General features: G+C 58.5%; 1 protein-coding gene across 3 annotated transcripts in view, besides 3 other annotated features; it reads right to left on the minus strand.

The window, feature by feature from the left end:
• Positions 1,671-1,840: an enhancer, noted in NCBI's record as "active region_13755". NCBI's record gives its function as "activates an Ori minimal core promoter by ATAC-STARR-seq in GM12878 lymphoblastoid cells {active_cell/tissue: GM12878}" and the evidence as "EXISTENCE:reporter gene assay evidence [ECO:0000049][PMID:35858748]".
• Positions 2,119-2,895: an enhancer, noted in NCBI's record as "H3K27ac-H3K4me1 hESC enhancer chr19:4089732-4090508 (GRCh37/hg19 assembly coordinates)". NCBI's record gives its function as "activates a minimal SCP1, AML or CMV promoter by ChIP-STARR-seq in primed H9 embryonic stem cells {active_cell/tissue: H9 hESC(primed)}" and the evidence as "EXISTENCE:reporter gene assay evidence [ECO:0000049][PMID:30033119]".
• Positions 2,251-2,330: an enhancer, noted in NCBI's record as "active region_13756". NCBI's record gives its function as "activates an Ori minimal core promoter by ATAC-STARR-seq in GM12878 lymphoblastoid cells {active_cell/tissue: GM12878}" and the evidence as "EXISTENCE:reporter gene assay evidence [ECO:0000049][PMID:35858748]".
• MAP2K2 (mitogen-activated protein kinase kinase 2) overlaps positions 2,706-12,717 on the minus strand; it is a 33,802-nt gene continuing 23,790 nt past the window's right edge. For 2 of the 3 annotated variants that reach the window (NM_030662.4, NM_001440689.1), the window contains 5 exons: positions 11,586-11,799; positions 9,664-9,728; positions 7,773-7,834; positions 6,838-6,883; positions 2,706-3,093 (listed from right to left, as the gene is read on the minus strand). In NM_030662.4, the coding sequence (NP_109587.1) occupies positions 2,983-3,093; positions 6,838-6,883; positions 7,773-7,834; positions 9,664-9,728; positions 11,586-11,799 (498 nt within the window). In that variant the 3' untranslated portion in view covers positions 2,706-2,982. The remainder of the gene's footprint in view (positions 3,094-6,837; positions 6,884-7,772; positions 7,835-9,663; positions 9,729-11,585; positions 11,800-12,717) is intronic. The other variant, NM_001440688.1, reaches the window with a different exon arrangement.

A 12,717-nucleotide genomic window follows, 5' to 3' on the forward strand; every position in this document is an offset into this window, starting at 1 on the left:
GGCTTTCAGTGACACTCCCTTCACCCTAAAGCCCCGCAAACGTTATTTATTATTTATTTTTTATTATTTTTTTGAGACGGAGTCTCGCTGTCTCGCCCAGCCTGGAGTGCACTGACACAGTCTCAGCTCACTGTAAGCTCCGCCTCCCAGGTTCACGCCATTCTCCTGCCTCACCCTCCCCAGTAGCTGGGACTACTGGCATCCACCACCAAGCTCGACTAACTTTTTTTTGTATTTTTAGTAGAGACAGGGTTTCGCCGTGTTGGCCGGGCTGGTCTTGAACTCCTGACCTCAGGTGATCTGCCCACCTTGGTCTCAAAGTCCTGGGATTATAGGCGTGAGCCACCCAGCCCATGCCCTGCAAATTTTAAAATGCTGCATGTTTTACAGGAAAGGGTCTGGCCCCGGGAGGCAGGGAAATCCTACCCCCTGGACTGCAGCATGTCCGTGGCCAGGGCAAAAAGGGGCATCCCCAGGTGTGTAGCCACCTTTGGGAGCACCCGGGATCCCTTCCCAGGCCTCCACAGTGGAGAAAATGAGGCAACGAGTCCAAAGGACAGCAGGCAGGAGGGGGATCTCGGATGAGGCGGCGGCTGGGTCTGGGAGGTTTCTTGGGGGAGCAGGAGTTGAGAGATCTAGAAACCGCCAGGGTGGACGCACTCTTGCCACATCTACAAAGTAGTTTCTAGAAGTCTGACCCTGAAGCGAGGCAGGGAAGATAGGCAAGACCACGGCTTCTCTCCCGTCCTTCCCTCTGGGGTGCCGTGGGGCTCCAATGAAGCTGCAGGATGGCTGCGCACACCGCAGGGATCCTGGCGCGGGGTCCATCCCCACCTAGCCCAGACTGCCCCTGCTCCCCTGGGACTCCGTGTCCTTTCATTCCTTGCCAATGGCAGGGGGTGGCCGGGACCCTGGGGTTTCCAGGACCGGCCGAGGTCCCGCCGGTTTGGAGCACAGGCAGCCAACACATTCCCCCCGGCCCTCCCGGCAATCCTGAGGGTCCTGGTTACCCACAGGGCGGCACCTTCAACACTTTTTTTTTTCTCCTATTTTTTATTTTTTGGGGCCACACTCCGTCGCCCAGGCTGGAGTGTGATGGTGAGATCTTGGCTCACTGCAACCTCCACCTCCCCAGGCTCAGGTGATTCTCCTGCCTCAGCCTCCTGAGTAGCTGGGACTACAGTTGTGCACTACCATGCCCGGCCAATTTTTTTTTTTTTTTTTTTTTTTTTTTGTAGAGATAGGGTTTTACTATGTTGCTCGGGCTGGTCTTGAACTCCTGGGCTCAAGTGATCTTCTTGCCTCGGACTCCCGAAGTGTTTAGATTACAGGTGTAAGCCACCAAGCCTGGCTTTTTTTTTTTTTTTTTTAAGTCATGTGAGACTTTAGGGCAAAACATAAAGGAGAGCAGCCTGGGGAGCTGTTTGCAGGAGGTGTCAACTCATCTCTTCTTTGGTGTCTGCAGAAAAAAAAAAAAAAAAAAAGCCACACAAGACTAGAAGGGTCACCCTAAGAAGAAAAGGACAATCCAGCAGTTCCCACAGAACCACAAGCCCCCACCTTCTGCTTTGTTTCCTCCAGAAACACAGTTGCCAGCCACCCTTCCCCTACAATTCGCCCGCAGATAATATCAGCTTGCTGGTAGTCTCCAGGAAGTACTGAAGGGGGAGGCTCACAGCCTCAAGAGCTTTAGAGAGCTCAGAGGGACCCTAGAACAGCCCAGCTGCCCACCACACCTAGCCCAGAGGTGGCCTCCTCTATCCGAGCACACAGTCCCGAAGGTAGAAAGGCTGGGCTTTGGATCTCGGACAACCGGAGAAGCAGGCGATGGGCCTCCGGGAACCCCGAAGACCCCAGGACAAGCCCTCACCGTTTCATCTGCAGCCCACTGCGGCGGAACAGTTCAAAGGCCCGAAAGTGTCACATGCCCTGGTGGTCACTTCTGATTTGTTGGGCGAGGAGAGGTGACAGAACCACCCGCCCTGGGCTGGGCCTGCTGCGGACGCAGGGGGAGTGCAGGGCGTGTCTCGGGACCTGCTGGGGTTTCCAACCAAACCGACAGCTTGGAAAGCCAGCGCTTCCTTTCTGTGGGGCTGAGTCTCAGCTCAGCTGCCACTGCTGGGAGCCCCCACTCCCTGAAGCGGGGGGACAGGGAGAGGATGGTGCCACGCTGGGGAAGAGGCAGGGGCGGCCTTCCCGCGGAGGCTACGTGACAGGAGCAGTGTAGAGGAAGTGGTTTCCATCACGGAAGGCCGAAGCTCTGCCTTCCACAGGGGCAGAGATGGTGGCGGGGAGGACACAGAGGGAAACCAGGTGGCATTTCCCTTCTTTTTTTTCAGTAGCCTTGCTCTGTCACCCATGCCGGAGCGCACTGGCACCATCGAGGTTCACTGCAGCCTCAATCCCCTGGGTTCAAGCGATCCTCCCGCCTTAGGCTCCCAAAGCACTGGAATGACAGGCATGAGCCGCCGCCCCCAGCCTCACTCTCCTTCCTTTTGGTGAGAGCCGCCATCGCCTGGGGGCTCACTGCAGGTCTTCATCCCTTGACCCAAAGGGAGAGGCGAGCTCTCCCTAAGGGAGGGCCCTGCGCCCTCCAGCCTCGGCGCCCGGCGATGCGGGTCAGCTCAGGGATGTCCTCTCCGTGCTGGGCTGAAGCAAAGCCCAGCACCCAACGCCGAACGGAAGAAAGAAGCAGGATGGCGCGGTTTGCTTTTTCTCTCCCTGTTTTGTTTTGTAACCTAAGGAAGCAGAGCCTCTGAGACCACACACAGCAGCGTCGCCCGTCCCCAGAGGCACCCCGGCCAGGACGGGCAGGAGAGGAGACCCCCGTTCCTGCATGCGCTGTCGCCCCGCCACGGTGCTCTCCGCAGGGGTGAGGCAGGAGGGTGGGTGGAGGCGCCAGCCTGTCCTCAGCTGGAAGGGCGGGGCATGGACAGGGACGGTGGGCAGGTCACCAGCGGGACGCAGGGAGCCCGGCCACTGTCACACGGCGGTGCGCGTGGGTGTGCCGGGCTGGTTCAGCCGCAGGGTTTTACACAACCAGCCGGCAAAATCCACTTCTTCCACCTCGGACCGCTTGATGAAGGTGTGGTTCTGCAAGGAAAGGGGAGCCGTGAGCACCCGGGCCTGGAGTCACAGTAGGACGGGGAGGGCCAGCGTCTGCCCAGCCCTGGCAGATGGTACGGGACAGAAAGCAAAAAACAGAGGAGACCCTCCCTTCCCCACAGGAAGACGCACTCGGGGTAGGAGAGGGAAAGAAACCCAGAAAGGGGCAGCGGCGTGTGCCAGGCCTGGGAGGGGTCTCAGGATGCTGCACTCCACCTGGGGCGGGGACACCACCAGCACGGCAGCCTGCGCTCCCAGGGGAGGGTCTACGCTCGCGCAAGCCCAGGGTCCTCCGGCCGCTGTGGACACCGGGGCCGGATCATTCTCTGGCGTGGGGCCATCCTGGGTACTGCAGGGTACTGAGCAGCGTCCCTGGCCTCCACCCACTCCATGCCAGGGGCTTCCCCAAGTCGTGACACCACAATGTCCTCAGCCATTGCCAGGGTCCCCCGGAGCAGGACAGCCCAGGCAAGAACGGGCTGTTCCACAGAACTCCGCGAAGAGCATTGTACAGGCACCGTCCCACTCGCCAGCACATGAGGCTCCAGAGCCCCTGGACTGTGGCTCCCATGGCTTGAGAACAAAAGCCTCAATTTTATTTCAGTTTAACAAATTAATTAAATACTTTTACTTTAATTTTTTTTTTTTTTAGATGGAGTTTCACTCTTGTTGCCCAGGCTGGAGTGCAGTGGTGTGATCTTAGCTCACTGCAACCTCCGCCTCCCGGGTTCAAGCGATTCTCCTGCCTCACCCTCCCCAGTAGCTGGGATTACAGGCATGTGCCACCACACCCAGCTAATTTTTGTATTTTTAGTAGAGACGGGGATTCACCATGTTGGCCAGGTTGGTCTCGAACTCCTGAACTCAAATGATCCTCCTGCCTCAGCTTCCCGAAGTGCTGGGATTATAGGTGTGAGCCACCGCAACTGGCCTTAATTTTTATTTTTTGAGACAGTCTTGCTCTGTCGCACAGGCTGGAGTGCAGTGGTATGATCTCAGCTCACTGTAACCTCTGCCTCCCAGGTTCAAGCAATTCTCCCGCCTCAGCCTCCCAAGTAGCTGGGATTACAGGTGCGTGCTACCATGCCCAGCTAATTTTTGTATTTTTAGTTGAGACCGGGTTTTTCCATGTTGCCCAGGCTGGTCTCGAAATCCTGTCCTCAAATGATCCGCTCACCTCGGCCTCCCAAAGTACCGGGATTACAGGTGTGAGCCACTGTGCCCGGCCCCACTGAACACACTTCAACAGCCACGTGTGACCAGCGGTTCCTGTACAGGACAGCACAACATGAGAAGCCTCTTGGTTGGAAGGGCTGGGGGAGGAGGGCGGGTGCCCTTGGGGAAGAGGCTGTGCTGGGCCACCCCACAGTGGGTGAGTAGAGGCCTTTGGGGTTCCCAGGAGGGTGGTGTCCAGGACCTTGGGCCCCTGAATGCTGCCTCTTTTGCAGCTGGAGGCAGGCCAAGGTGCCTATCTTCCTAAAAGTCGGTGTAGGTATGGGTGAAAAACCAACCAACTTGATAGGACACATCTTGGCTAGGTCCAGGATACCCAACAGGGGAGCATTTTTAAGAAGCTGGTTCAAAAATGGCTATTTCAGCCAGGCCCAGTGGCTCATGCTTATAATCTCAGCACTCTGGGAGACCTAGGTGGGTGGATCACAAGTTCGAGACTGGCCTGGTCAACATGGTGAAACCCCATCTCTACTAAAAACACAAAAATTAGCCGGGTGTGGTGGCACGAGCCTGTAATCCCAGCTACTCGAGAGGCTGAGGCAGGAGAACCGCTTGAACCTGGAAGATGGAGTTTGCAGTGAGCCGAGATTGCGCCACTGCACTCCAGCCTGGGCAACAGAGCAAGACTCCGTCTGAGGGAAAAAAAAAGTTATTTCAACATTAGTACCCCTCTCTTTTTAGTTATTTATTTATTTTGGAGAGGCACAGTCTCACCATGTTGCCCAGGCTGGCCTTGAACTCCTGGCCTCAGAGAGCCATCCCCCTATGGCACTAGGATTCCAAGTGCCCACCACAATGCCCAGCCTGCCTCATTAAAAAAGAAAAAAAGTCACACATGCCAGGTGCAGTGGCTCACACCTGTAATCCCAGCCCTCTGGGAGGCCAAGGTGGGAGAATCATTTGAGCCCAGGAGTTTGAGACCAGCCTGGACAATTAGCAAGACCCTGTCTCTATAAAAAAAACTAGCTGGGCAGGTCGGGCACGGTGGCTCACGCCTGTAATCCCAGCACTTTGCGAGGCTGAGGCAGGCAGATCACCTGAGGTCAGGAGTTCGAGACCAGCCTGGCCAACACGGGGAAACCCCATCTCTACTAAAAATACAAAAATTAGCTGGGCGTGGTGGCAGCCACCTGTAATCCCAGCTACTTAGGAGGCTGAGGAGGCTAAGACAGGAGAATTCCCTGAACCTGGGAGGCGGAGGTTGCAGTGAGCCGAGATCGTACCACTGCACTCCAACCTGGGTGACAAGAGTGAGACTTCATCTTTGCGGGGAAAAACAAAACCCACACACAAAAACTAGCTGGGCTTGGTGGCACACATCGGTAGCCCCAGCTGCTCAGGAGGCTGAGTGGGAGGATCACTTGAGCACGGGAGTTGGGGCTACAGTGAGCTACAATCGCACCACTGCATTCCAGCCTGGGGGACAGAGCAAGGCTGTATCTCAAAAATTTTTTTGACCAGGTGCGGTGGCTCACATCTGTAATCTCTGCACTTTGGGAGGCTGAGGCAGGTGGATCACCTGAGGTCAGGAGTTTGAGGCCAGCCTGGACAACATGGTGAAAGCCTGTTTCTACTAAAAATACAAAAATTAGCCGGGTGTGGTGGCGGGTGCCTGTAATCGTAGCTACCTGGGAGGCTGACTGGAGAATTGTGTGAGCCTGGGAGGCTGAGACTGCAGTGAGCTGAGATTGCTTCACTGCACTCCAGTCTGGGCGACAGAGTGAGACTCTGTCCGACTCTCAAGAAAAAAACAAAACTGAAAGCCACATTCCAGTATTAGAAGGCACCCGGTTGGGTGTCTGTAGCTGGCATCTCTTCTTTTCTTACAGGCACAGAAAGTAACGGGCTGTCTAGGGGGGTGGCATCTCCAATCCGCCAATCAGCTGTCGAGGGGTTTGAAGGTCGCTGACGGTGGCTGTGGTATGGGAAAGCACTCGGGATGCAGGCTGGGCTGAGGGCAGGAGGATGATGCCCGGGGCCCTCCTCTGAGGGTGTAGTCCCCGCTGGGGAGGCGAGTTTTGGTGAACAGCTGGGCTTCCGAGGATATCAGAGGATGGGGGTTTAAGGGGACACCGAAGTACGCACGGCCTCGGGGGACCTGCTTGCCAGTGTGCAGAACAGGGATGGTCACCCTCTAGTTTGCAGGGAAAGGAGCCTGGGGGGCTGAGAGCTGCCTCCAGCCTCTCATGAGGGCAAAGAAGCCCGGGGTCTCATCCTGTGGGTGCGGGACCAGCACCAGGCAGGAGCGGCGGAGCTCAGAGCCCAGAGCTGTTCCCACGCACACACCCTCTGCTCCCCGCAGCCAGCCCAGGATGGCTTCTCTCATGGATGAGAGAGACCCACAGAGGGTCCTCGGCGTGGCCTGGCACACCCGGCCTGCCCACATCCTGGTCGCAGGTGCTGGCTCCCCGGGCAGGGCCAGGCCCAGCAGCCTTATTTCCTGGGGCCTGGGTGGCAGCCTGCACCCTCCCGGTCCCAGAACCCGCTGGCATCACTCACTGTGAGCATCTTCAGGTCCGCCCGCTCCGCTGGGTTCTTGATGAGGCTGGGGGTTCCAAGAGGCAGGACCGGGAGGCGGTGGAGGAGACAAGACAGGGCAGTCAGCTGGTGGCCCCGGGGCACCCGCGTGTGGGCCGTGGTCGGAGGGGGCCTGGATCTCTCCGACCAGAGAGAGTGGCACAGAGTGGCTGCTCTGTTCTGCCTCCTGGCAGAGGACGAGGGATCCACCTCTGCACTTTGGTGCCAGGGGCAGGACACCCCCCAGCGGGAGGGTGAGAGGGAAAGAGGGTGGGAAACCCCGCCTGGTGGGTCAGAAGCCTGGACGCAACCCCAGCTAACTGTCTAATAAAACCCCAGGCCCGGGGCAACATCGCCGGAGCGCACGCCAAGGGCCCGGGGCAACTCCGGCACCAGGAGTGCGGTGCCGTTCCACGGCGTCCCGAGCTCACACACATGGACCGGCCCTGTGGGCAGCGGGGTGTCCGCAGCTCCTTCCCCGTGGTCTGCGGCACATGCCTGTGAAGCCCACGCCACAGGTGCTGCTGGGTGCTTGGGGGCAGGAGAATGGAGTGGGGCTGGCGACCCTCCCAGAACCTGCGGGCGGATCCCGGGGAGCCCACAGTCAGCACACCAGGGGTCCGGGGACCAGACAGAGGCTTCTCCTGCTGCAGACAGTGAGCTGGGGACACCGTCATGTGCACAGGGCCTGCAATCCTGCTTCACCCCTGGGCTCACGGACAGGATGGCATGGCAGCCGGGAGCTGCAGCCCCACAGCTCTGGGAAAAGGAATCTGGCTTCCCGTTGGGCTGAGTCCTGCCTAACGCTGCACTGGGATTCTGGATGGGCAGGCTGGGCCACGGGCCCCACCCAGGACCCGGAAGGAGTGGCACATCTGGGTCCCGGCCAGGGGTGTGGGCAGCCCGGCTCCACCTACCATTTATTGACAAACTCCTGGAAGTCGGGGGTGAACACACCGTTGGGCAGCTTAGGAGGTGGCTGTGGAGGAGAACAGAGGGTGGGGTCAGCCCTGGGCATCGTCAGGGACCCTCGGCTGCAGCCCTCTCTACCCCTCACTGTCCTGTCCGGTCACCCACCCTGCAGGCCTGGCCGACACCACATGCCAACTGGGCTGCACCCTGTCAGAGGTGGCCTTCTCCCGAAAGCTCTCGTTTGAGAGTCACGGCTGCTTAGAGGGAAAGAGTGGGGTGCGTCCCCCTTTTATCAACAGGACAACCTCTCGAGTGTCGTCACTTGCTTCCTTCCCCAGTGTCACTGGCTGAAGGATGAGCTTTGGGACTGGGCCCCACAGAGGGACATCTGGATCCAAAGTTATTTTGTTTTGAGACAGTCTCGCTCTGTTGCCCAGGCTGGAGTGCAATGGCGTGATCTTGGCTCACTGCAGCCTCCACCTCCGGGGTTCAAGGGATTCTCCAGCCTCAGCCTCCTGAGTAGCTGGGATGACAGGTGCCCACCACTGCGCCTGGCTAATTTTTATATTTTTAGTAGAGACGGTATTTCACCAGGTTGGCCAGGCTGGTCTCGAACTCCTGACCTCAGGTGATCCACCCACTGTGGCCTCCCAAAGTGCTGGAATTACACACCTGAGCCACCGTGCCCGGCCAAACTGGGTCCACAGTTTTAAGCCCAAGCACTGGGGAGCCTGGCCTGACACACGTCCCCGGAGCGGGAGTGGCCGTGTAAGCGGTGCCAGCAGGGCAGGGGCAGGCCTTTCCCGCGCAGGGGCAGGGGCGGGAAGAGGCGGGGGAGAGGTCGGGGGATGTGCTCACTGGGCATGGGTGTGGCTGCTAGGTGCAGGGAGAGCTGGGTCACCAGGGCCACCCCACCTGGCTCCGTCATCATCTCGCCACCCAACCCCAGGCCTAGCCCAGTCTGCAGGCAGCTCAAATGCCCGTTTCTCTGCCCCAGCTCCAAAGGGCCACCAAAGACACAGAAACCCACAGAAGGCCCAGGGAGGTGGCCCGGCCTGGTCACGTGGCCAACAGGACCTTGGGGTGCAGTCCTGTGCCTCCCTGACAGCTGCAGGCCTGGAAGGAGGCCGCGTCCCTCCTTGTGCCTTGTTTTACTCATCTGGGCGGTGGAAACCCTCATACTGTGGCTCACTGGGTTGTTATGGGGACTGACGGAGCAGGAGCCACCCCGGGACCTACAGGTCCTTCTAGGCTCTCTGGGCCTCCTTCCAAGAGGCAAGGGCCATTCCTGTACCTTTCTCCGTGGAAGCGGGGTGATTTATGAGTCCACGCCCACGGGCGCCAGGACGCTCTGATGCAGAGACACTGGGCCACTGCTCAAGGGGCAGGCTGGCTCCTCGGCCTGAGCCCAGGGCTGCTGGCACACACCTCCCTCTGGACTCAGGGTGAGAGGCTGCGGTGGGAATTCTGGGTTCGTCTTCATAAAAAAACAATGCCCTTGGGAAGGAGCTGGGCTTGTGCAGCACAGTAGAAGATGGGAGACGCGACACACGTGGAATTGGTTCAAGAATTGCTTGAACCTGGGAGGCGGAGGTTGCAGTGAGCTGAGATCAAGCCACTGCACTACAAAGCTAGACAATGTCTCAAAAAAAAAAAAAAAAATTAGCTGGGTGTGGTGGTGCGCACCTGTAATCCCAGCTACTCGGGAGGCTGAGGCACGAGAATCACATGAGCTTGGAAAGTGGAGGTTTCAGTGAGCCGAGAAGGCACCACTGTACTCCAGCCTTGGTGACTCTTGCTCTGGTCAGAGAGAGACTCTGCCTAAAAAAAAAAAAAAAAAAAAAAAGAAAGAAGAAAGAAAAGGAAAAGAAAAGCCAAAAGGCATCAAGCACAAACCTCGTTCACAATATAGTCCAGGAGTTCAAAGATGGCCATGGCAGGCCGGCTATCCATCCCGTGACCTGCACAGGGAGAGAGATGGAGGTGAGATGGGCCGATGGCCACCTCACTTCTGCTGGGGGTTGGGCTCCCAGGGGGCTGATCACCACCAGGCGCCCTCCTCCACATGCCAGCCTAAATTGGAGGCGGGTGTGCAGAGGCACTGGACAAAGCTCCCCTGCCTGACTCTGGGTTCCATTCCCTGGGACAGCTACTCCTTGCCTGAGCCTCTAGTGAATTAAAAAAAAGGCAAAAGGAACAAGAACATTTTTTGAGAAGTCACACATTTGGCTCGGTGAGGCTTGCCGGACGTGCCAAAGTCATCACCCCTCCTCTCTGGAGGGCAGGGGGAGGGACGGTGCTGACCGCAGGCAAGGACAGCCGCGTGACCTTGCATGGAGCTGCTGGCGGTGATGGGGGCAGGCCCCAAGTGCCACTCAGGACGGGAGACTGGCTAGGGGTGGCTGACCCCTGTCTGAGAACCAGCTGGCCAGGCCTGGGCTTGGCAGCTGGACTTTCGCCTTCTGCCCGTCCTGAAATGGGCAGGTGGGCTGGGGCCCTGGGCTGGGGATGGTATACCACCTGAGAGTTGGGACTGGGAGAGGCTGAGGCTAGGCCTGAGGATAAGGACTTGGGGGCCTCTCCCTGGGATGAGATCAAGACATCCCAGCAGTCTGGCTGGAGAGGAGGAGGTGGGCTTGCCAGTGCTATGAAAATCTCCTTCTCACAGCCCCAATCCATCCGGGTAGGACCACAAAACGTGGCCTGTTCGTGTCATAAAATACTACTCAGCCTTTCAAAAGGACCCAGGCTCTGACACGCACCATGGCGTGGATGACCCTTGAGGACACTGCGCTCCAGGAGAGAAGCCACACACAAAACACAGAAGGCCACACAAGTGTGTGACCCCATTTCTGTGAAATGCCCAGGACAGGCCAGTCCAGAGGCAGGAAGGGGATGGAGAGTGACAGCTGATGGGGACAGGGTTTCCTCTTGGGGAGCTGAGAAGGTTCTGGAATTAGAGGTGATGGGGCGCAGCACTGTGACTGAAAACCACTGAACTGCTCACCTGAAATGAGTTGTGGGGTGTGTGCTTTGTAGTTCGGAAACATGGTTTTAAAACCAACCACAGTCCGCTACAGGGTCCTTTGGGGTCTGACGCCACCAACTCTCCCTGATGTCTGACTTTAAAAAAAATCACAGGACCCTCCTGTGATTCTGCACCAAGCAGGGTCCGCCCCCGGCTCTTCCCTCAGGCGGTGGAAGTGTCCGCTCGGCCCTCTCTGACTGGCGTCAGGGAGCTCCCGCTCCCGAGGTGCCCGCCCTAAGTGCCGGATTGTCCTCTGCGAGCCCAGCTGTCCCTGGGGCCTGAGCCCTCCCGCCCCCTCCCGGGCTGTGTCCCCTCCTGTGTGTGTTGGGGCCGGAGCCAACAGGCCACTGAGGGCCATGCCAAGTCCAATCTCCACTTCAGGACTCCCTGGAAGGCTTGGCCCGCAGCACAGGAGCGTGTCACCTGCAGAATGCAGGCTCTGTGGCGGCCAATTCCTTCCACTTTTCTGTGCGTTTGAATGCTTTCGGGATAAAATGTTGGAAAATCCAACTGCCCAGGGGCTTGGTGGCAAAGCTGCGCTCCCAGATCCCTCCAGCTGGCAACAACAGGTGCAGCTGCCCCGGACAGAACAGGTTTGGGGTGCTCACTGCTTCCAGCTCTGTCCCCGGAAACCCCAGGACCATGGGAGGACTGCTGACCACAGTCGGCACCATCCAGGGGGACAGGTGGTGCGCCAGGGGCAGAGGGGAGGCAGCTGCTGACCCTGGCACAGCAGGCCCCGCGCAGGGCACTGCGCGTCCAGACCGGAAGTTGCAGATTCAGGCCGTACCGCTGACGGGGCGCCCGGGGGGCCTCGGCCGAGGCGAGATGCTGTGAGGCTCTCCTTCTTCCCCGTCGACCACGGGCCGGCCAAAGATGGCCTCCAGCTCTTTGGCGTCGGGCGGGGGGATGGGGTACCTTCCGACGGCCAGCTCCACCAGGGACAGGCCCATGCTCCAGATGTCCGACTGCACCGAGTAATGTGTGCCCTGCAACCGCTCCGGCTGCAGCAGAGCCAGGGAGGAAAGAGCCCAGAGGGGCGAGGATGGCAGCTGGAACCCGGGAGGCTTGCCCCGTTACAGCCCCCGTCACCCTCTCCATGGCTAATGACCGCAGCAATGGATAGAGAGCTGTTACGCAATTCTACCTCCCGGCTCACCCACCCAGGGCCTCCCTGCGGCACTTGCTGAAGAGGCTTCCAGCCCGAGGCCTGGAGCTGGTGTTGACCGCAGCTCTTGAAGAGCCTGCAATGCTCAGCACTTTTGGGAATGGATGATGGGCCCCAGGAAGCAGGGGCCTCCTCCTCCACAGCTAACATCTCAGAGGCTGCTCCAAGGCTCAATTTGGCAGGTTGCTGAATCCCCAGTCGTTTCCTGAAAGACCCCAGATTCCAATTCCTTGGTCCAGAAATTAACTAAGGGCCGGGTGCAGTGGCCCATGCCTGTAATCCCAGCACTTTGGGAGGTTGAGGTGGAAGCCCAGGAGTTAAGACTAGGCTAGCCAATATGGCGAGACCCCATCTCTACTAAAAACATTTTTTTAAAAGTTAGCCAAGGCTGCCGGGCACGGTGGCTCACGCCTGTAATCCCAGCACTTTGGGAGGCCGAGGCGGGCGGATCACAAGGTCAGATTGAGACCATCCTGGCTGACATGGTGAAACCCTGTCTCTACTAAAAACACAAAAAATTAGCCGGGCGTGGTGGCGAGCGCCTGTAGTCCCAGCTACTCGGGAGGCTGAGGCAGGAGAATGGTGTGAATCCGGGAGGCGGAGCTTGCAGTGAGCGGAGATGGCGCCACTGCACTCCAGCCTGGGTGAGAGTGTGAGACTGTGTCTCAAAAAACAACAACAACAACAAAAACAAAAACCAAATTACCCAGCTGTGGTGGCACATGCCTGTAGCCCCAGCTGCTTGGAAGGCTGA

This window comes from Homo sapiens, chromosome 19, assembly GCF_000001405.40.
Source record: "Homo sapiens chromosome 19, GRCh38.p14 Primary Assembly".
Taxonomy (NCBI): Eukaryota; Metazoa; Chordata; class Mammalia; order Primates; family Hominidae; genus Homo; species Homo sapiens.